This window comes from Homo sapiens, chromosome 5 (assembly GCF_000001405.40).
Source record: "Homo sapiens chromosome 5, GRCh38.p14 Primary Assembly".
NCBI lineage: Eukaryota > Metazoa > Chordata > Mammalia > Primates > Hominidae > Homo > Homo sapiens.
The window spans coordinates 66,686,916-66,710,499 of record NC_000005.10 but is presented as its reverse complement, the minus strand read 5'-3'; the positions used below and the strand labels follow the sequence as shown (position 1 = coordinate 66,710,499).

General features: G+C 39.5%; 1 protein-coding gene across 8 annotated transcripts in view, besides 1 other annotated feature; it reads right to left on the bottom strand.

The window, feature by feature from the left end:
* MAST4 (microtubule associated serine/threonine kinase family member 4) overlaps positions 1-23,584 on the bottom strand; it is a 573,201-nt gene that overhangs the window by 459,094 nt on the left and 90,523 nt on the right. The window lies entirely within an intron of this gene.
* Positions 1,848-2,007: an enhancer, noted in NCBI's record as "active region_22622". NCBI's record gives its function as "activates an Ori minimal core promoter by ATAC-STARR-seq in GM12878 lymphoblastoid cells {active_cell/tissue: GM12878}" and the evidence as "EXISTENCE:reporter gene assay evidence [ECO:0000049][PMID:35858748]".

Genomic DNA, 23,584 nt, shown 5'->3' with positions numbered 1-23,584 from the left:
ACGTGCGTCTATAGACCCACATCTAAGGAAGAAAGATGAAAAGAGAAGGAAAATGATCAGTGAGAAAAATCCCAGCCATCTAACAAGGTCAAGATGCTACTAAAGTGCCCTTCTCTTTTGTCCACTTATCAAGTAATAGAAGAATAAAAGTCTAAATAGTCTGACCTTGACATGGTATAATATATATTATAAAACAGACACTGCCTATTGCGGGCAGAGTTTTAAAAAACACAATATTTCTCCATCTGGAAAACCAAATATTGCTTGCTTCCTCTGGCAAATCAGATCAGGATGAATCTCAATGCAGTCACATCACTTCTACAACTAAAAATTACTAAATCCAGGAGAGAAATGGAAGCAGCTAAACTTGCAGCACTGTCAGTAGGATCAAAGCAGAAATGGATCACACCAACTCCAAAGATGGCAAGGGCCGACTTCAGCAAAGTAAGGAGAGAGGCAGTGGAGACCAGAACTTCTCTCTCCTTTTACTGTGAAAGTCAAGGGTATCAAGCTATATGATGGGCCACTAGAAAACACTGGCTGGAAAAGGAGACAGCCAGTCCTAACATTAGAATGGCTCACAGCCCACTTGCCTGTATGGCACCAAATTTGGGTGGAATACGTCATTTTCTAAAGCTTAAAATCTCCCTAATATCCACAGGTGCCACAGGAGGCTCAAAGAGGTTAGGAAACACAAAGCTAGTAAGTTATAAAGTGGGGATTCAAACAGTCTGGTGATTATTTTTTATAATATTTGACCAAAATAAGTATTTTATATATAACTTAATTGAATGTTTATAATTGATATGTTTTATAATAATTATAAAAAGAAACAGAGACAAAGAGCCAGAATGCCAATTTGGCCTTTAACATTCATTTTGGGGGCTGCATATGGTGGCTCATGCTTATAACCCCAGCACTTTGGGAGGCCGAGATGGGAGGACTGCTTGAGGCCCAGAGTTCAAGACCACCCTGGACAACATAGCAAGACTCCATCTCTACAAAAAATGAAAAAAATTAGCCAGGGACAGTGGCACATGCCTGTAGTCCCAGCTAGTTGGGAGGCTGAGTCAGGAAGATTGCTTGAGCCCTGAAGTTTGAGGTTACAGTAAGCTATGATTGCACCTCTGCACTCCAGCCTGGGCAACAGAGCAAGATCCTGTCTCAAAAAAAATTCATTTTGATGCTTCAGTATTCCTGAACATAACAAATTCCCTGGTGCCTATAAAGTAGGGCAGTAAATTTTAAGCTTCAGAATTTTTTTTTTAATTTCAAACAAAGCAAAGTATCAGCAATAGCAAAATCTAGGTGGTATCCGCAATATTCTTGGTGCTTTCCTGGAAATGTGTAATATTTCATAATTTCAACAGAAGAAGGAAAAATTAATGTCACTGAATATTTCTATAATACAGCCACCTGCAAAAAAATATTTCAGGTGCCTTTGGAATAAAGAAGTGACAGTCATGGAGGAAAGAGAACACCAAGTTTGAAAACTAGTTGTGCTCCTAGTAAAGAAAGTATATGTATTATGCCTGCACAGGACATAATTATCTCTCAATATAAAATTCTTATTACCGACTGATTTTCTATCCCATTTGCCCATTATTAAGGAATTTTAGCATTTAATGCTTTTTTTCCCCGATCATTTATATTTTTAGAAACACTGCTACCACCCAGGAAATAAATTCACTTATGGTCAAAGGTAATGCATGGAAAACTGAAACTCCACTTTCTGGATAGTACTTTTGTTGTTTTAAATGATTAATGGCTACTAAACGGGTTTGCAACAGCCTGCCCATCTAAAACCTTAATAGCCAAACATGCAGCTCACTATCACCAGGGGAAAATGAATGCTTGGTGCTCATAATAACAGAAAATGAAAGGCTAAGTTTAGACAAAACAGAAACCAACAGCAAACTCAATTCAGACAAGGAGGTCAGAACAGTCTACACTGGCTACCACATGCCAGGTACTACTTTCCTTTTTAAAGAAAAGGTAACTAAAGCTCAGAGTGGCTCACCTAGAGTCTGTTAGGTATGATGGGCTCCACTACCAGATTCTCTGTGTAATTATGGACTGCTCCTTTAACAACAAAATTCAACATGACCTAGAGCTTATGAGAGGTTTGTTCACACTCTCATGTAATGCTTATACTTCCAGTGATAGAGATATTATCACCAATATCATGTGACTAGTCAAGAAACCAAAGTTCAGACAGAGTTAAATTTGCCCCAAGGTAGTCAGACTTCGATGGTTAAGCTAAGGCACGAACCTCATCTTCCAACTCCAAGTCCCGCACTCTTTCCGCAAATAAAAGCAAGCAAGACACAGAGGCCACACAGTGCAGCGAAACTAGGACTAGCTTTGCAGAGCTGTGTTTGAATCTAGGTTGGTGTTGCACACTCAGAAAAGTAATTTAATTATTTTGAATTTCAGTCTTCTCTAAAACGGACCTACCAGCGACATCCTCATCCTTGTGGGGACCAGAGTTGACGTGTAAAGAGTCTGGTACAAACAGGCACTCAAACGGTAGCTGTTACTGTCATCAATGGTAATACAGGCTCTGTCTTCATGGTAAGTCTTTCATAAAGCACTCCTGAGCAAATACTACCAAAAGAAATCAACCTGGGTTCCAGGGTGTAGAACCCACTGTTCATTACCACAGCACACACCCCTGCCCTTGGTTTCCATCAGTCTATGAGCTAACATTTTCCCACTGTTATTAGCTGAATTACATTCTGCTCCCCCCTACCACCATATCCCAAAATCATGTTGACATCCTAACCCCCAGAACTCAGAATTCACTGTATTTGGAGATAGGGTCTTTAGAGAGGTATTTAGGTTAAGTATCTAATCCAATATGACAGGTGTTCTTATAAGAAGAGGAAATTAGGACAGCCAGGCATGGAAGATAAAGAGGGATATGTTAAGATAAAGAGAGAAGAGAGCCAACCACAAACTGAGAAGCAAGGACTCATAATGAAACCAACCCTGCTCGCACCTTGATCTTGAACTTCCAGCCTCCAGAACTATGAGAAAATTCATTTCTGTTTTTAAGGCCCCCTTGTTGGTGGTACTTTGTTACAGCAGACTTAGCAAACTGGTATACCCACCAAGTGACCTCTTCTCTGAACGGCAGCCCAACCCAGGGATGAGGAACACACAGCTGTGGCTCTACTATCACAGCACCTGGTGTCAGAATCCTGGCTGGAAACAATGGCTTGAAACAAATGAGTGGTGAGCCGGAAGCCCGTTTGTGACGTATTTCTAGTCCACAAAAGGGCAACATCTTCTAGCACTTTCAACATCACCAGCCAGTTGACAGGACTCCCCAAGGAGGGACTGGAAGTCAGGAGCCTCTTACTGAAATCTTATTAAGATAATAGGCTCTCTTCACAGGGAGGGCCTCTCTGCAGGAAAGCAGGTTAAGGGACAGAAGACAGAGCCCCACACCCTGAATGTCCAAGACCACCACAAAGCTTCGAAAGTTCCTGTGAGTATAACTCCAAGTAGAAATTACAGTAACTGAAAGGCTAGCACGGCATCCGCAGTTTCTTGACTACAAATCTGACACACATCTTGACTACGAACTCTAACATACATCAGAGTATGAAGAAATTATTATTATTAAACATTCTAATGAGGCCTAAAAGCAAAGTTTCTTATAGTCAAGATATTTAATAAACAATGAGTAATTCTGCAACAGTTATGTATCAACTGAAGTCAAAACCTTTGGATCAACACCAGGGAGCTAAGTCTCTTTTTCATATAATGGCAGCTACTCAAAACAGCCAGGTATGGAGAATAAAATGGACTAACTGAAGATGAAGAATGTTTATGAATCATTAGTTTGAGGGTTTTACCTGATCACTTCAACAAAAAAAAAAAAAATTACTATTTCTTTCATCATTACTCAGAACACACACTTTCTTGGAAAATTCTACGTTTTTGTGGAATATCATTCAGCAAAAGGAACTCATGGACAGTACTCATTGTAAGTACTAAATGTCCCTTAAAAGAACATATAGGATAATGTGTCTTATGAAGCTCAAATACTGCCTCTTCTTCTCATGAATTTAATTTTAAATTTTAAGTTGTCCTCCCGTTTCATATGGCATTATGAATAATGGTGGGTTTGGGGCTTGGCTCTGTCCTCCAACTCATTTTGTGACACTTACTGAATCCTCTCTGCCCCTGGTGTGGATTACAGCCATCATCAAATGCATGGATTCGCTCATCTAAGGTCTCTGCATTTCCCTAATGTCCTTTGTCCTGTTGATGATAAAACATATTTGGGGGATAGTATGGCAATATTTCTTAAAGATATATCCCTGGATCAACTTAACTAGCAACATCTGGGGGGCGGGGCTAGATTTTGTGACTTAAAGTAGAGCCTAGGAATCTTCACAGTACTAAAACTCCATAATTGATTCTTTTTCCAAGTATATTTTAAGATGCAAAGCAGCATAGAGAACCTGCTAGGGCCACTGGCTTAGAATCCAGCACTGTTATTTACATCATGTGTAACCATGGGAAAGTTACTTCGCCTTACTAAGCCTTGATTCCCTACCTAAATATTGGGGATAATAACAATACCTACCTCCAAGAAGTATTAAAGAATGACACAAAATAACATACATACCATCAAACACTGCCTAACATATAGCAAGTATTCAAAAGTGCTAGCTATTCATATGATATGCAAAAGGGTTTTGAATTTATTAATTTTCATTGCATGACTGATTAACCCTTTATTACAGCAAAATGAATATATGGTAAGGGAATCAAGAAAACATATCTTCTGATTAAAAAATCATGAAGCTTTGAGTGCTCAGTTTTTAAATACTAGTTAAGTGCCAGGCATATGGCTACAAAAATACATTCTGAAAATGCAGTTTTGTAGTCAACTAGGTTTTCATTTCACAGCATTTTAAATGGAAGTGTCAAAGTAGACTCAGGGGAACCTGAAACCGTTCCTGTGAAACATGATTTGACTCTGCTGTCCAATATAACACCACAACATTCATCTGTATAATTATATATTTGGCTCAGATTTCCTTTTATCATTTATATCTTTTGTTTTTATCTTTAAAAAAATCCCTATATGCAGCAGCGATTAGAAACACACCTGGGAGTTTTCTAGAACTGAAGCAGCACATGTATTTAATTACAGTGAGGTTTCTGGTGTTATCATTCTAAACATGCTCATGCTATACCCATTAAAAATAGAAAAAAGGAAGCTACAGGAAATGCAGACAGCACCACAGTAAGTTTAGTCTTTAGATAATCTCAAGTGAATTTGTGCAAGCAGAATTCCAAACTACCACATGTAAATAAAAAGCAGGAAACCTGATCCTCCAATTTCCACTCTCTAGAGATGGCTTACGGGACATTTCTGGAATGAATTTCCATCCAAAAACTAGGTCAGCAGAGGAACTATGGATGACTGTGGAGCAACAATTTCTGTGGCTTGGTGGGCACCTAACATTCACAGCTTGATCCCAGGCCAGGAAGAACAAAAACTCTCCTGCTGGGTTGAGTGACCCCACCTCTAGGACTGCTTAGCACTCTAAAACAGCTGAAACTTCTCCCTGACTGCTTTCCGAGAAGCAAGCTCAAGATTCTTACATATGAAAAGAATACACAAAAGACAAGAAAGAGGAAAGTGAAGGAGCAAGAACAACAGTGATTAGCAGCAAGCTTTTAAGAGTGGAAGACACGCCTGTAATCCCAGCACTTTGGGAGGCTGAGGCAGGCGGATCACGAGGTCAGGAGATAGAGACCATCCTGGCTAACACGGTGAAACCCTGTCTCTGCTAAAAATACAAAAAATTAGCCAAGCATGGTGGCAAGCGCCTGTAGTACCAGCTGCTCAGGAGGCTGAGGCGGGAGAATGGCGTGAACCCGGGAGGCAGAGCTTGCAGTGAGCCGAGATCGTGCCACTGCACTCCATCCAGCCTGGGTGACAGAGCGAGACTCCGTCTCAAAAAAAAAAAAAAAAAAAAAAGAACAACAAGCAACAGAGAGGATGCAGAAGAAAGGAGCTTTCAACAGAGATGAAGGATGGAACAGCAGCTCTATGGTCAGGTCAACAAAGTCTAGCCTGTAGCTCAAAACTGAGGCCTGTTACATAGACAGGAGTAACTTATTAACTGATTTATATGCACCCAATGAAGTAGTTCTCAGGATCCCCATTTCACAGATAAGGAAACTGATGTTGAACACTTGGCACTTAGTATGTACTTGATACACTACAGCTATTTTTCTGATGAACAAATGAGTCAACCCAACGGTGTGTACTTCTGCAAGGGTGATTTGAGCACTCCAAATAGACGTGGTATAATAAAATGAGATACAAATGGTTACAGGGAAAAAAAACCTCAGGTACTTAAGAAGTGTGTTTCTTAATCATAAAACTCTGGAACATACTAACCTAGGAACATTATAATGTTAATGAAACCTAGTCTATTTGGCCTTCCTCTACCCTGGCAATCACTAAAAACACACTGACCAACATCATCCACCTAAACACTCTTATACTTTATGTAAAACATGGACAAGGTAATGTTGTTTGTTGTGTTAATGCTTCAGGTTCCTATAAAAGTTTGTGACTCAAAATGTTATGATCTTTGTGTTTCCAAGGCAGCTCACATTTTCTGATTGCCTAAAGAGATCAAACTGGAGCAGAGATAAACATACTTCTTTCCTCCTGATTTGATCTCCTGTATACTAGCTTAATGACTATTTCCGAACCTTGGACATGCCTAAGAATAACAAAACCATTCTTCTGGAGAGAACAGGGAGTGACTGTAAATGAGCATGAGGGCAACAACTCTGTATGTTTACTAAAAAATCATTGAATGGTACACACAAGATGAGCACATTTTATGTGTATAAAGTATATCCCAATAAAGCTGTTAAAAAACAACACTCCACTGCTGCATCCATTGCTGCATCCCTATAGAGTTCACCCTGCAGAAGTTGGGTCACTGGCTCTGGAGAGAAAGTGCTGATCTTGCTACTCCCATTCCCTATCCCTACACCCCCATGCTCCCACCGATTCAACTAATAAACCTAGATATTACTCAAAATGTAAAGTGATTTTATGACAATGATCATCCATGCATACATATAAGATGGTCAATATTACTGCTTTTACATGACTTGGTAAAGGCATCATTTTTCAGGCTGCTCATGCCATAAATGCTGCACAAAGTAAGCTTAAAACTTAAGAACTCTTATCATGTCAGCGTCATCTTCTTCCCGAATCTGTTTGCTGGGAATCAAGCCTTTCTCAAAATGCCAAAGGAATTCTTGAGAAGCTGAGAGCCTCCTACCCCCTACTCCCCTCCCCACATGAGGAACACACTCATGAAGGATGGAGAATGCACTAGCAGTGCTACGCCAGCCACCTCGTCAGGGGAGGGGAGCCACAAGGATGTGCATTTAATCCATAATGAATCCTAACAGGTCCACCCTTCAAATAGGTCCAGGTTCTGGTCCCATCTGGCCACTTCCTTGTAAAGCCACTGACATCCCCCTTCTGAACTCCTACAAGGGCATCTTCACTGATCTCCCCGCTTCCACCAACTTTCCTGTGGTCTATTCTCAACACAGCAGCCAGAGTGATCCTCTCAGAACGTTAAGTTGAATTATATTACTCCTCACACTGAAACCCTCTGGTGGCTTTGCATCCACTCAGTACAAAAGGCCAAGACTTAACAATGGCCTCAAGGTCCTACCTGATTAGGTCTCTGGTAACTTTCTGATTTCCTCTGTCAACCTGCCCTTCCTTTCTTGCCTGTTCTGCTCCAGCCACACTCACCTCTTTATCTTCAAACACAGTCCTGCCTCAGGGTCTTTGCATTTGCTGCTCCTCTGCCTGAAAGCCTCCTGCTGCAGATTCCCTTAAAAGTTGGCTGTCTCATTTCATTCTGGCCTCTACCCAAATGTTACCCTAACCGAAAGGCCTTCCTTGACCAACTTATCTAAAATATCACTCCCCACATACACACACAGCATCCGTCCATGGCCCTCCTACCCTGCTTTATTTTTATCTTAGCACGCCACTGGACCACTGACATAACGTAACTATTTCTGTGTTGCCCATCACCACATTCCCTCTACCCCTAATGTCAGCTCCATGAGAGGAAAGACTATCTTCAGAGCCTGGAATGGAGCCTGCCCGTAGAAAGTTCTAAATAAATACTTGGTGGTAATAAGTGAATAAAAACAAGAGTGAACCCCATGGCAGTCGAGGGACCACTGGGATGAGGATCCTCTGCTCTGCATAAGGCAGTTACCCACTCCTGGGCCAGCAGGTCCAGCAGCCGATGCTCCCATTCCCTGATGGGAGAAAGAGGAAAGGGCCAAGGAGCCAATCAACATTATAGACTTTTTCTATCATGAAACTTCAAAGTCTGCTCCTGGGAGCAGCACTCACTCAGGACTCACAATTATCTGAGCAAAAGTGATCATATCCCAAAACATTTCCACAGGGAAAAATATTTTTTCAGTAACAAGAATAAAGACAAAAGTGAATGTAAAAGCCTAGTATATTTTGAACTATATATGAATTTAATTTTCTAAAGTTTTTAACTTGCAAAGTTCATGTTTTAGGTAGAGTATAGTCCTCTAAAAGGTGAAAACCAATTCTCATAGGGAATTTTCATTAAAAAAAATCCTATAACCTATAAGGTTGATATGATCATCATTTCCATTTGATAAAATAATAGATGGAGGTTAAAAAACCTGAAGCAACTCACTCAAGGCAGTGAAATTCCAGCATCAGGACCTGACCTTATTTTTTATTTCAAATGCACGACTTTTTCCATGATTTATGTTGTGTTTACAGAAAACCAAGTTCAGAAAACAGAAAAAGTAATCTTTGAAATGAAGACTTCACTAAAGAAGCATCCAAATTCAAATAGCAATAGCTTTGAACTCTTGAGAAACTCAGTGTGCTGGATCAGAAAACCAAGGCCTAATGTACCACAAAAACTAGACAGCTAAACACACCTGGGCTTGAAATACAGATAAGCAAGGAAGTGAAACAGAAAATTAGACAAGAGCTACAGACCCCTCTCTGTGAGGAGAGACACGGGGATGCACCTTACTAATTGTAAAGAACCAGGCAGAACAACAGAGAAAACACAGTGGGGTACTATAAGACATTGAGTAGCAGTTTCATAATCTCTCAAAATGTATTTAAAGTAAATTCATTAAAAAGCAAGTTGTATGATTTATCTCAAAGGTCATGGAATCACTGCGTGCCCATACAACCTATAAAGAGAAACAGCCAAGTTTTGGTCACTTGCTAGAATGCAAACCTTAAGTTAATCATGATTTGTTGAAACATGTTCAAAAATGCACTAGTAATGACTTCAATAAAATAGTAATGATAACCAATAATTATTTTGGTAATTACTTAATTACATTAATGATTATATTCATGATTAATAAATGTGCTTTATTATTAGGAAATGTAAATAGCACTTATAATGCAACACAGAAGATTAAAAACATATTTGCAAACAGTCTTAAATAATTCCCAAGATGATCTCAGTATATTAATATTAAAAGATCTAAAGAGCCATAAGCAATCCATTTTATACAAATAAAAGGACACTTGAATATGTTATCCACAAGTTCTAATACACCGATGTGTATATATGTGTGTGTGTGTGTGTGTGTGTGTGTATATATATATATATATATAATTTTTTTTTTAATCTCACAGCCTCATTTCCATACAGAGAAAGGACTTGCTTAGAGTCAGTTGTTGTTTTTTTTGTTTTTGTTTTTTTTGTTTGAGAGATGGAGTCTCACTCTGTTGTTGCCCAGGCTGGAATGCAATGGCATGATCTCGGCTCACTGCAACCTCTGCCTCCTGGGTTCAAGCAATTCTCGTGCCTCAGCCTCCCAGTTAGCTGGGATTACAGGTGCCCACTACCACCAGCCCGGCTAGTTTTTATATTTTTAGTAGAGGTGGGGTTCTGCCATGCTGGCCAGGCTGGTCTTGAACTCCTGACCTCAGGTGATCCACCCACCAGTTCTGACAAGGTTAATATAAAATTCAAAACATTTAAGTGTATCATATCAAAATTTAAGGCTTAAAGGATTTTATCAAGATTAAAGATAATTTGAATACAAAAAAAAAGAGCGAGAACAAAAATTTGTATGGGGTTACAATGGAGTGATAAACCATCACAATTTTCCATCATGAAATAATAGAATCATTTCTATAAAATATCTTGCTAAGAAATGCAAAGGTAATATAATTCTGCTTTTCGAACTACAGTTAATTATTCTCTTTGCTGCCAATAGAGAAAACAAAATTATCAGTTTCCATTTTGGCCATAACACCCTTATTATGCCTCAAGGGAGAAGGGGAGGGAAATAGAGGCAAAGCCACAGAGCAGAAGACACTGGGCTGCAGTCAACACCAAAAATGTCGGTAATAGCAACCATGCAGCTAGTTTCACAATCACAGCTGCACTGTTAATAATTGATTCATTCATGCAAGAAAAATGTGTTGTATACCTACTATGAGACAAAGAGTTTGGGGTTTGTTTTTTTTTTTAAGTTCCGGGATATATGTGCAGAATATGCACGTTTGTTACACAGGCAAATGTGTGCCACGGTGGTTTGCTGCACCCATCAACCCATCACCTAGGTATTAAGCCCCGCATGCATTAGCTATTTATCCTGATGTTCTCCCTCCCTTCCCCCCCGCCCCACCAACAGGCCCTGGTGTGTGTTGTTCCCCTCCCTGTGTCCATGTGTTCTCATTGTTCAGCTCCCACTTATGAGTGAGAACACGTGGTGTTTGGTTTTCTGTTCCTGTGTTAGTCTGCTAAGACTGATGGTTTCCAGCTTCATCCATGACTCTACAAAGGACCTGATCTCATTCCTTTTTATGGCTGCACAGTATTCCATGATGTATATGTACCATATTTTCTTCATCCAGTCTATCACTGATGGGCATTTGGGTTGGTCCATGAGACAAAGAGAATTAATGGATTGGTGACTAACAAAAAAATCCCTCTGGAACTTCTGCTCAAAGTGAGATGGATGAACATCAACAAAAACAGTTCCACCCCTTAGGGCCTGCAGTTCTCTGGAGAAAAAATAAAATAGGGCAATGTGCTAAAGAATTCCAGGGCTTGGGGGAGGGTGTGCTGCTGGGGCAGTCAGGAAACTTCTGAGAAAGATAACATTTGACTGAGAATTAAATGATAAGATGGTGTGACTATAAGATCTAAGGAAGGGAACATTTAAGGAAGAAATAACAGCAAACCCAAAGACTCTGAGATGAGAACAGGGTACCAGTGAGGAAGACAGAGGACTAACATGGCTGGGGGAGATTGTGCCGGAGGGCGTGTCAGGGTGGAAGATGGGGACTGGATCACATAGGGCCTGGAGGTGGTAAACTAGTATCCTAGTTGTACTGAGATGCTATCAATAGATTCTAAGCAGAGAAATGATATAAACTGGTTTATACTTTAAACAAGATAAAAGCTGACAAACAGAGATTGGACTATAGGGAGGTAAAAGTGGAAGCAGAGAGACCAAGGAAGTACAAGAGTTCAAGTGAGAACGGGGGTGTCCCACAGAAGGGTTATGCCCATGGAGGGAGAGTTTAAAGGCAGTGGCCACAGAACTCACAGAACTTGTGTGGGGGATGTGAAGAACACTAGGGGAATGAAGAACAATTCACATCTTGGGGGTCTAAGGGTATGTGGTGGTGCCATTTATGAGATGGGGAAGCAAAAGCTCTGTTATGCTAAGATGCCCAGCAGATATCCAAGTGGAGATGCCAGGCAGACAGATGGATCATAAATATGGAGTTCCTGTGAGAGATCAGTGCTGGAGCCAGAGATACAGGAGACACTCCTTACAGGCAGTATTTAGAGTTGAGGGCTGGATAGCTGAATCACTTAAAGCAAATGTCCAGATGGAGGAGAGAGCCAAGAATAAAACACCAAACTACTCCAACCTCCATAGACTGGGCAGAGAAAGAGGTACCTGTAAAAGAGATAGAGAAGCAGCAGCCAGCAAGGGGGTAGGACAGCCAGGAACAGATAGGGACACAGTAGCCTAAGAAGGGAGGGGGCAGGAGTGGGGATGGGTGGAAAGGGGTGGGTAAGACAGCTGAGAGTAGGGTTGAGACAAGGAGAGGAGGAGGGAATGAGAATGAGTAAGATGGGACAGCAGAGCTGAGGTTACACCAGTGAGATTGATTACTCAGCTGTCTCCAAGATACTCAGCTGCGGGAACTAAGAGTGTGGGTACTTGGATTTACAAAATCAGGGCTGTGTTAAGCCCAGTCCATCAGGTGAGAGAGAGGCAAGGGATTTTGCAGGAGTCCAGACTACATACTCTAAAGTGGGTTAGGAGGGAAGCCAGGCCACGAGATGGGTGGTGGATAGCGAAACAGGTAGAGCCACTGAAGCAGAGGTTCCCAAGGAGAAATGAAGTACACACGAGTGGAAGGACAGAAAGTGGTGGTTAGGTCATGGAATGTTGGGAATCGAGTTAGGACGTGCTGTAGCTTATGGGTGTTGACTTAGCTTAGGACAGCAGCAGTTCCTGAAGACTTTGGTTTCAGGCCCCCTTTGTACTCATAAATGTTATTAGGTGTCATATCTATGATAAATCCTTGTGATTATATCTGTTGATATTTACCATATTAGAAATTAAAGCAGACATTTAAAAAACATTAGTTCGCCCTGATTCAAGCACCAGAGAAGAAAATAAAAAATAATAATTCATTTAAAAATAAATCTATTACATGTTAGCATAATGGTGAAAGAGTGCCATTGTTTTTACCTTTTTGCAAATCTCTTGGGTGTCCAGCTTAAAAGACAGCTGCATTCTCATATCTGCTTCTGCACTCAATCTATTGTGGTATCTTATTTTGGTTCAATTGCCTGAAGAAAATTTGCCCTTGCACAGACACATGTGGTTGCAAAAAGTAAGGACTATTGTAACAGACTTTCAGATAATTGTGGAAATTCTTCAACACTACCCTAAAACTCAACAAGTACTAGTTTCTTAAAGGTTATTTGTAATTAAAATTTCAAACCATATCAATGAACTTTCTGATATGGTTATCATTAATGTATTAGTCTATCTTGCATTTTGAATGGATCTTTTATCCATGCATAATTTTGAAACATCGTACATCGGTCACTTGGAAAATACTGGTTCCTTAAGTTATACAGATGTTCCAAAAACAGACACATGAAAAAAGTCTTTAAATATTGGGAAGCTCTCAAGTTCAGGGTAGCAGATATAAGTTTTCCAAAACCCTAATTTTCACTTGAAGACTTAAAATCACTGGCAACAAGTACAGTTGTTTTCCTTGAAGTGAGAAGTTGACTTCTTTCCATTCAAGAAAGTGTCTGCCAAATGTCTACATCTGATAACCATAGTCTGTCCACCGATCGCACAAGTGCTTCTCCTTGAGACAACCATATTTCATTGTGCAGAAATGCTGTATGCATACTTCCCATTTCATCACGCAGAATATTTTTTAAAAGTACTCTCAAGGGTTAAGATACAATAAAATTAAGAATTTTTTTTACTGCTTCATCAGGATATTAAGTGAAAGTGCCATTATTTACTGCAAGTGAGTGGCAGAAGGATGCAATAACTACTAGTACTGTTGTTGGACACTAGAGTGCTAGCAATTTTACTCACCATTGCTTTTGCCAATCAGTGCAAATGTAAATGCAGTAAAAAAAAAAATGCAGATGATATCTCGGTATTATTATAAAAACAATTTTAATCTTGCAGATTCTTGAAAGGATCTAGTGGGTGACCCACCACACTTTGAGAACCAATTGCTAGCATAGAGTATGACCATGAATGCATGTGTGCAGCTGAAGTTGGGGGAAGAAAACATAGTTGGACTGAGGAAGCCGAGCACCAGAGCGGTCAGAATGTTGACTTGACCATCATGTTGATGCTCAAGTTATGAGAATGACAGAAGTATTCAGGAAAAGGGGTGAAAGGTGAGGGAGGAAGGAATGACATCAGTGAATGAGTGGGTGTGACTAGGAGGTTGATACTAAAACCCGTAGGAGGTGCTAAAGCCTAAAGACAAGTGCTTCAATGAGTACAGATTTTTTTTTTTTTAAAGTTCTGGGATACACGTGGAAGACATGTAGGTTTGTTACATAGGCAAATGTGTGCCATGGTGATTTGCTGCACCTATCAATCCATCACCTAAGTATTAAGCCCTGCATGCTTTAGCTATTTATCCTGATGCTCTCCCTCCTCCCACCCTCCGCCCCAACAGGCCCCAGTGTGTGTTTTTCCCCTCCATATCCCCATGTGTTCTCATTGTTCAGCTCCCACTTATAAGTGAGAACATGCAGTGTTTGGTTTTCTGTTCCTGTGTTAGTTTGCAAGGATAATGGCTTCCACCTCTATCCATGTCCCTGCAAAGAACATGATCTCATTCCTTTTTATGGCTGCATAGTATTCCATGGTGTACATGTACCACATTTTCTTTATCCAGTCTATCATTGATGGGCATTTGGGTTGATTCCATGTCTTTGCTATTGTGAATAGTACTGCAATAAACATACGTGTGCATGTATCTTTATAATAGAATGATTTATATTCCTTTGGGTATATAACCAATAATGGGATTGCTGGGTCAAATGATATTTCTGGTTCTAGGTCTTCGAAGAATTGCCACACTGTCTTCCACAATGGTTGAACTAATTTAGATACCTACCAACGATGTAAAAGTGTTCCTATTTCTCCACAGCCTTGCCAGCATCTGTTGTTTCTTCACTTTTTAAAATCACCATTCTGACTAGCATGAGATGGTATCTCATTGTTGTATGGAAAAATCAGTATCATGAAAATGGCCATACTGCCCAAAGTAATTTACAGATTCAATGCTATTCACATTAAACTACGATTGACATTCTTCACATAATTAGAAAAAAAACTACTTTAAAATTCATATGGAACCAAAAAAGAGCCCATATAGCCAAGACAACCCTAAGCAAAAAGAACAAAGATAGAGGGATCATGCTACCCGACTTCAAACTATACTACAAGGCAACAGTAACCAAAACGGTATAGTACTGGTACAAAAACAGACACATAGACCAATGGAACAGAATAGAGGTCTCAGAAACAAGACCACACATCTACAACCATCCGATCTTCGGCAAACCTGACAAAAACAAGCAATGGGGAAAGGATTCCCTATTTAAAAATGGTGCTGGGAAAACTGGCTAGCCATATGCAGAAAATTAAAACTGAAGCCCTTCCTTACACCTTAGACAATTAACTCAAGATGGATTACAGACTTAAATGTAAAATGCAAAACTATAAAAACACTAGAAGAAAATCTAGAAAATGCCATTCAGGACATAGGCACAGGCAAAGATTTCATGACAAAAGCGTCAAAAGCAATTACAACAAAAGCAAAAATGGAAAAAAGGGACCTAATTAAACTAAAGAGCTTCTGCACAGCAAAAGAAACTATCATCAGAGTGAACAGACAAGCTACAGAATGGGAGAAAATTTTTGCCATCTATCCATCTAACAAAGGTCTAATATCCAGAATCTACAAGGAACTTAAATTTACAAGAAAAAAAAGGCATTAAACATGGGCAAAGGACATGGACATTTCTCAATATAAGACATTTATGCAGCCAAAAACATGTGAGAAAAAGCTCAAGATTGGCTGGGCGTGGTGGCTCACACCTGTAATACCACCACTTTGGAAGGCCAAGGTGGGCGGATCACCTGAGATCAGGAGTTCAAGACCAGCCTGCCCAACATGGCGAAAACCCATCTCTACTAAAAATACAAAAATTAGCAGGGCATGGTGGCACACGCCTGTAGTCCCAGCTACTCAGGAGGCTAAGGCAGGAGAATCACTTGAACCTGGGAGGTAGAGGTTGCAGTGAACCGAGATCGTGCCACTGCACTCTGGCCTGGTCAACACAGCGAGATTCCAACTCAAAAAAAGAAAAAAAAGAAAGAAAAAAAGAAAAAAAAGCTCAACATCACTGATCATTAGAGGAGTGCAAATTTTTAAAGGAGAAAGAACAGTAGCTTGGAAGTGACAATAGCAGCAGGGAGAATACCTTCCCTACTTCCAAGCTGACTTATATGAGCTAAGGGAGAGGGACTGTTGGCTGCCAGAAACCACTGAAAGGGGTGGACCTTCAGCACACTTTTACTGGCTTCTCATGCCAATGTCATGGTTCCCAGACAGCCTCATACCTCAGACTCAGCTGGGGAGCTTTTGAAAAAACACCCAAGCTCCAGGCTCTATTCCAAGAAATTCAAATTCAAGATGTCCAGGGTGGGTCCCATGTAACTTATTCTTTCAATGCGCTCCCTGACGATTCTGATGCTTAGTCCATCTTGAAAACCAGTCTCAGCCACCGTGAATTTGAACTTAATCTTCTCTGTAAGCCTCCAGTCTAGCCAACTTAAATCTAGCTTGAGTTTTCCCCTCAAGTATGTTCATGTACCATTCCCTTTGCCTAAAATATTCTATCCTTAGCTACCTAAGCCTTTTCCATACTTCAGTGTTGGAGCAAATCCCTCCCCTTGTATAAAGCTTTTTTTGTGTGATCACTACAACTTTGGGTAAGAACTTCCTACTCCTCCCAAAGTACTTGCTAGCTTGTTTCTCTTTCCACATTTGTACACTTACAGTTTTTTTTGCTCTCTAAAGGCACCCCCATCTAGCTTAAAAATTCTAGGAGAGCGAGGACCATATCTTAAGAGATTTGATAGCGTCTAGCTCTTTGTTTAATAATCTTAAGACATTTGATAGCATCTAGCACTATTTAATAATCTTAAGAGATTTGATGGCATCTAGCACTTTATTTTATAATCTTAAGACATCTGATAGCATCTAGCACTGTGTTTTGTAATAGCAGGCATTTAACAAATCTTCCTAAAATCACATCTTGCTCATCTTGTTAGCGAATTGTGGCAAATGCATTTCTTTCATTTTCTTGTGGTGAAGTGAAAACAAAACACACACTTGGTAGTTCAACAATTTCATTTCCAAATCATGGTTTTCCCAAAAGAGCTTAACTTATTAAAAGAATACAAAGATAAATAATAAAGTCTTTACTTTGCAGCTTTTGTTGTACCTATAAAACTTCCACACTTTTTGGAATATTTTATTCTTAGATTTTTTTTAGATGCCTTACAACTGTAAAACTGTATCAAACACAGTCAACATTTGTAAAACATTTATAATTCATGTGATTACAACACTGATCTTTAATGACTTGTTGAAAGCAAGGCAAACCATGACAAGAAACATTAGTTCCCGGGGGATTGGCTGCTAAATTCACACTTTCACATTTTCAGTCCCAATAACATATTAAATAGAGCAAGAGACCTGCTGATCCCTAAAAACTATCTTGTAAAATTTTGTAACCTTTGTACTATTGTGGATATTCATTGTTACAGTTCACCTGGAAGCATGTTAGTGAAGCAAAAAAAAAAAAAAAAATACAAACTTTAAAATCAGAGAAATATATTTTTATGAGCAATAGATTTCATTATTCAATGGACAGACGACTGTGTAAGCACACTCCTTCTCTTTTCTTCTTAGCTGGCTGACAGCTACCACCAACCTACTTCAAAGCACACTGGAATACCTTGAAGTATATATATACTTTGAGTATGTATATACTCCCTTGCCCCTTCCACCAAGTGAGGACATAGCAAGAAAGTCAGCAATAAGCTAGAAAGCAGGCCCCGACCAGAGCCCTCACAATGGGATGATTGCAGAACGGTAAGGGAATCAAAAGGCGATGAATGATATGCAAACAAGTTGGTTGTTTTATATATTAGGACCCCTAGCAAAATGATTTAATGAGTCCACTGCAGAAGTAACAGACTAGCTTAAGTGTTCTGATGGTGGAACACCTATTGCCTCGAATATTCAAAGGACGGAAGCCCAGCTTGCGGAATAGCCCTGGTTCATCTCCCAGGGATGGAAGATGAACATGGGCTATTCCCCTAGCTAGGTCTAGCCTATGTGACTCAGGACAGCCCTACAATAAAGTAAAAAAAAAAAAAAGAGAGCAAGAGAGGAGAGACTCATCAAAAGAGAGGTGAATTTGAACAAAAAACAAAATATGAGCACAAAAGAGCTTATATAGGGAGACAGGGGATACAGAAAAGCAACGAAAAGAATAAGCGTGCTCAAGTCTCAGGCCCAGTGAAGTTAGAACTGAGGTTAAATGTTCTTATAACTCTTGGGATGCTTCTCTTACCATGCGATTGAACACCTAAGAGGTCGAGAGAGAGCAAGCGAGCGAGAGACAGAGCACATGAGTGAGAGTGTGAGAGAGAGTGCAAAAACGCAAGAAGCATACTTTATATAATATACCTGAGAGTGCAGTGTAACCTGTAGCATCTTTTGCAGCTACACAAAAACAAAAGATGACTTTCACTAGAGACATTTTATATATGTCCTTGGGTTCCTGTAATTTTTACACCTACATATGTAAAATTCTTGCCCTGGGGAGAATCAAAATAAAATTGTGCAGCATTCACTGTACATTCTTAATAAACTCTTAGCCTAGGACACTCACAATCATTACCATAGAGAATGAAGAGATGGCCATTACTAAGAACAATAGACTGAATGTCTGTGTTCCGCCAAAATTCATATTGAAATCCTAACCCCCAATGCGATAGTATTAGGAGGCAGGGCTTTGTGGAGGGGGTGATTGGGTCATGAAAGCGGATCCCCTCATAATAGGATTAATGCCCTTATAAAAGCTATCTCAGGGAGGTCCCTTGCCTGCCCTTCCACCAAGTGAAGACACAGCAAGAAGTCAGCCATCCATGAACCAGAACATGGGCCCTAACGAGACGATGAATCTGCTGGCACCTTAACCTTGAACTTCCCAAGTTCCAGAATTGTGCAAAATACATTTTCTGTTGTTTATAAGTCACCCAGTCTATAGTATTCTGTTATAGGAACCTGAATGGACTAAGACACCAAATTCATTTTTTATGTAGCCGTTTTATTTACTGTAATCCATCTACTCTGAAAAGTTTTTTACTCAATTTAGTCTTTGCACATCAAAAAATGGCATTAATGTGAGATATTTCTTTGGCGTTGGCAAAAACCCTAGGGGAGTTAAGACACTTGAAAAAGTAGTAATTTAAAATTAAGCTATCATAACCAATAGGTACTGAAAAGATACTGAATTCTTAATAAACCATCTCCAAAGGGATCTGACATTCCCTATTTTTCCCAAAGAAAAATGTCTTTTTTCAAAATTTTTTAGTATATAAAATTTGTAGGAAGAAGAAAACCGATCTAGTCTAATGACTGACAAGAACAGCAATTCCAGCTCCACCATTTACTTGGTTTCAGAACCCTAGGCAAGTGGCTAACCTAAGTTATTGTCACTCTAAGAAAGTTATTAGGACAATAAAGTTAAATGAAGCAGTATTATAGGTCACTTAAAGCATACTCAATAACAGTTACACAGTGAGTATATTGAAATTCAAATGCCCAATTCTTATTTACCAGTCTAAAATTGAAAGCAACTATCAACATTCTACTTCAAAATGCCCCACAGGACACCTATTTCTGGAGAAAGAGTAGCCACCCCTGTAAAGGCGTGATCAGCAGAACCACCAGTGAACACCTTCATGTTCCGGAAGAACAGGAATGAGGTTATCAAAGTACAGATGACACCTTCACCAAAACCTCCATTGCTCTGGCTCTCTTAAAAATCACCTCCTCAATTTTTCCAATCACCTCCTCAATTTTTCAACAGTGCTAGATAAGAAGTTCTTTAAATGACGGTGTTTTCTTCTCTCAGAACTACAAACAAGTATCTGAAGAAAGGCTAAAATTGCTTGGATGAAGTGACCGTAATCAAGGGAAGAGAAAGGAACATAGGGTCATTCAGAACATTCTTGTATTTGAAGAAAAGGGAGTTGAAAATCTTCCAAAAACTGCTAGCCAGTGGCATTTGAAATTTTAGCTCGTGGCTGGGAAGCAATAACTAGAAGAAAAATACAGCAAGCCCTTTCTAATCCCGGACAATGAAAACAAACTTCAACAATTCCTCAATTAAGGGTTGTGGAGTTTCTAAAATAAGAGAAGCATATAAATTAATCCCCTTCCCAGATTTTAGAATCCTACAATACTTACTAAATAACAACGCAGAATATCTTACCCTGACAAGCGTTTCCAAAGTTCTTCAAATGCTTCTGCAGTCATTATTTGACCCTCAAATTAACAATTCTCTGCGGCAAACAAGGCAAGTATGGTGGTTCTTATTTGATGAATGACAAAACTGAGATATAAAAAGCTAATGACTTGTCCAAGGTCACATGCCCAGTAAGTGAGGGAACAGGAGTGGAGTTTCCCTAAGCCAGAGCTTTTCCATCGTCTCACACAGATTAATCATTACTTATGGTGATTAATGCAACTGAAAGGATTCCAGCTGTTCAAAGTTTCCACAGCATGGCCTATGATACACTTGCAGCTTTCCAATAGAGGAGGCCAAGTCTAGGTGTCCCCAATTCATGTGAAAAAAGCCTAAAAGACCTATGGTTACTACTACTCAGTAGGCTTAGTAGGATACTCAAAAAATATAATTGGAGATGGCATCACCTTCTCGCACTCCTTATGCTTTCCACATGGTCAGCACTGTGCAATACACTACCAGGCACTGTACGTTTTAATGACTGTTGGGGTAAACAGTAAATGGTTTAATCAGAAATGCTGAGCTAAAGTTACATAGTCACTGGAGATGTTATTTATCAACTCTGGGGACAGACAAACTCTAAAAGGTAACCAGCGTACATTGGACAAGGGCAGGCATAGAACTCCAAATGACTTTCAAAGCCACATGGATATTTCAGATCAAGGTAGGTCAAATAAACAATAAGGCACTGGGCTGAAGTTTAACAGGGAAGACAGAGCACTGGTAGGTTTACGAAGGAAAGTAAGAGAAAGAGAAACACCTGGGAAGGGAAAAGCTCACCTAAAAATGATAAAAGTCAACAACAGACAGGAATGGCAAGAGTAGGCAAAAGCACTAAATTGTGGATGAGGGCTCAGTTTAAGTGAGTACTCCAAGGAGACAAATCTTCCCCTCTTCCTGGATTTGAAGAAACTCGGATTAGGGGACAGTAGAGATTGCACCTCACCCTGGTCTCTCTTCTAAGAGCTCACAAGATGTTTCAGGAGATAGAATGATAAAGCAACATCAGGTTAGATAGCCTGAAGACAAGAATACTAAGTGCCAATTAATGGTCTTCACAAACATGAAGAAATTTTCTAAAGATCAAAGTAACCCACTGTTTTAATTTTCACTAAAGCTTAAATTGCAAAAAAAAAAAGGAACTGTTTAAGCAAGACAGTTACTGACACTGAAGACATTGTTACCAAGAGACCCTCTGATCCTTTTAAAACTTTTTCCTAAGGATAGAATAAACATTGAAAAGCTTGGAAAAAAGCCCTTTTGAGGTTCTATTCTGATGAGGAGAGGTAGAGACATACTTGTAAATGTAGGGCTTTTCAGGTAAATTTCACATAATGTTCCTCTTCAGTTAACTACATCCCTGGTCCCAACATACTATTAGGGCTGTCATGGGAAGGTCCTCATAGGCTCTGTCCTATTGGCTTTAGCAGCCAGTCTTAGTATAAGCAAGGTCTTCCCCACCCCTCCCATTGCCTAAGAGTCCACAAAGTCACCCTAGCTCTCAGCTCCTGAAATCACTGAAACTAGAATGGGAATCATTTTTCCCTAAGTAAATTTGGTACCATACAGAAATTATACTTCCCTCTGTCTTATTCCAGAAGTACTGAAAAAGATAGCACTCTACTCACCAATGATCTAAGAGAGTCTCTGGAAAGATTGGTACTTTTCTTGTCCAAGGAAACAGAATAAGAGGTATAAAGAGACAGCAACCTCTTCTCAACATAGGTCAGGGTCCCAGTCACCCCCTCTAGTTCAACTTCTGCAGAATTCAGCCCTTCAAAATGGCAACTGTGGAAATTAGCCTGCCTAATAAGGCTCAGTTCATCCAAACTTGGTCTGAAACCATTATAGCACTTCCAGATAGCACTTCAGGAGATATGACTGAATCAGATGCAGACAGCACTTCAGGAGATATGACTGCCAGGACATTCCTAAGGTTACTTCATATCCATTTGAGTGGGTGTGTCAAATCACTGCAGGCATCCTTACTGATGTGCCCAGTTGACACCAATGTGGCACAGCAGTCTTGGAAAATAGGCCATTCCTTTTGATAGACTTGACATCAACATGCTCCAAGGCAGAGACTTGTGAACCTACTGGGAAGTGTGCTAAAAAGCCAAATCTAAAAGCTATCATGACCAGAGATGGAGAGTGGGCTATTCCATATTACTGTCCAAACCAAGCTAAAGGTTTACCCAACAGAGAACATGCTCAACAATTTTCATGGATATAAGATTTAGACATAAGGAGAGTCCAACTACTTATGCAACGACTTTATCATGAGCTAACATTGTGTGCCACACCTGTGCACCTGAAAAACTGCCACATCATCTTCAAACAAAAACATCAGTTGAACTTAACATCAAGTCATTTTTTAAGGTAAACTTCATCCTTAAAAATAAAATTGCTGCTAGAAATCCCACTACTGAGTATTTACTCAAAAGAAAAGGAATTGTTTTATCAAAAAGATTCCTGGTCTGTTACGTTTATCACAGCACTGTTCACAATAGCAAAGCCATGGATTCAACCAAAGTATCCATCAACAGTTGACTGGATAATGAAAATGTGGTGCGTATAGATAGATAGATAGATAGATAGATAGATAGATAGATAGATAAACACACACACATCTATGTATACATATATGTGTATATATGTATGTATATATATACACATATACATGTGTATATATGCATGTGTATATATGTATACATACATATATACACATGTACACACACATCTATGTATACATACATATACATATATGTATGTATACATATATACATGTATACTATGGAATACGTGTATACCGTGGAATACTATGCAGCCATAAAAATGAATGAAATCATGTCCTTTGCAGCAGCATGGATGGAGTCAAAGACCTTTATCCTAAGTGAAGTAACTCAGAAACAGAAAATCAAATACTGCATGTTCTCATTTGTAAGTGGGAGCTAAACAATCGGTATGCATAGACAAAGATGGCAATGACAGACAGTGTGGACCCCATAAGGATGAGGGAAAAGAAGGGGGTGAAGGTTTAAAAACTACGTATTGGGTACAATGTTCACTATTCGGGTGATGGGTTCACTAGAAACCCAAACCTCACCATTAAGAAATATATCCATGTAGCAAACCTCTGCACATACCCACTGAATCTAAAATAACAACAAAAAAAAGCTGCTAGAAATAAGAAAGCTACAAAATCAAACAACTAGTTGAAATTAGGATTTCCACTAATTCACTGAAAAAAAATTTAAGAACATTCTTTGCACACTTTTCAGTCTTACAAATGACAAAAGTTGAAAACCCCTAGAAATAAATTTTTTTAATTAGCTAAA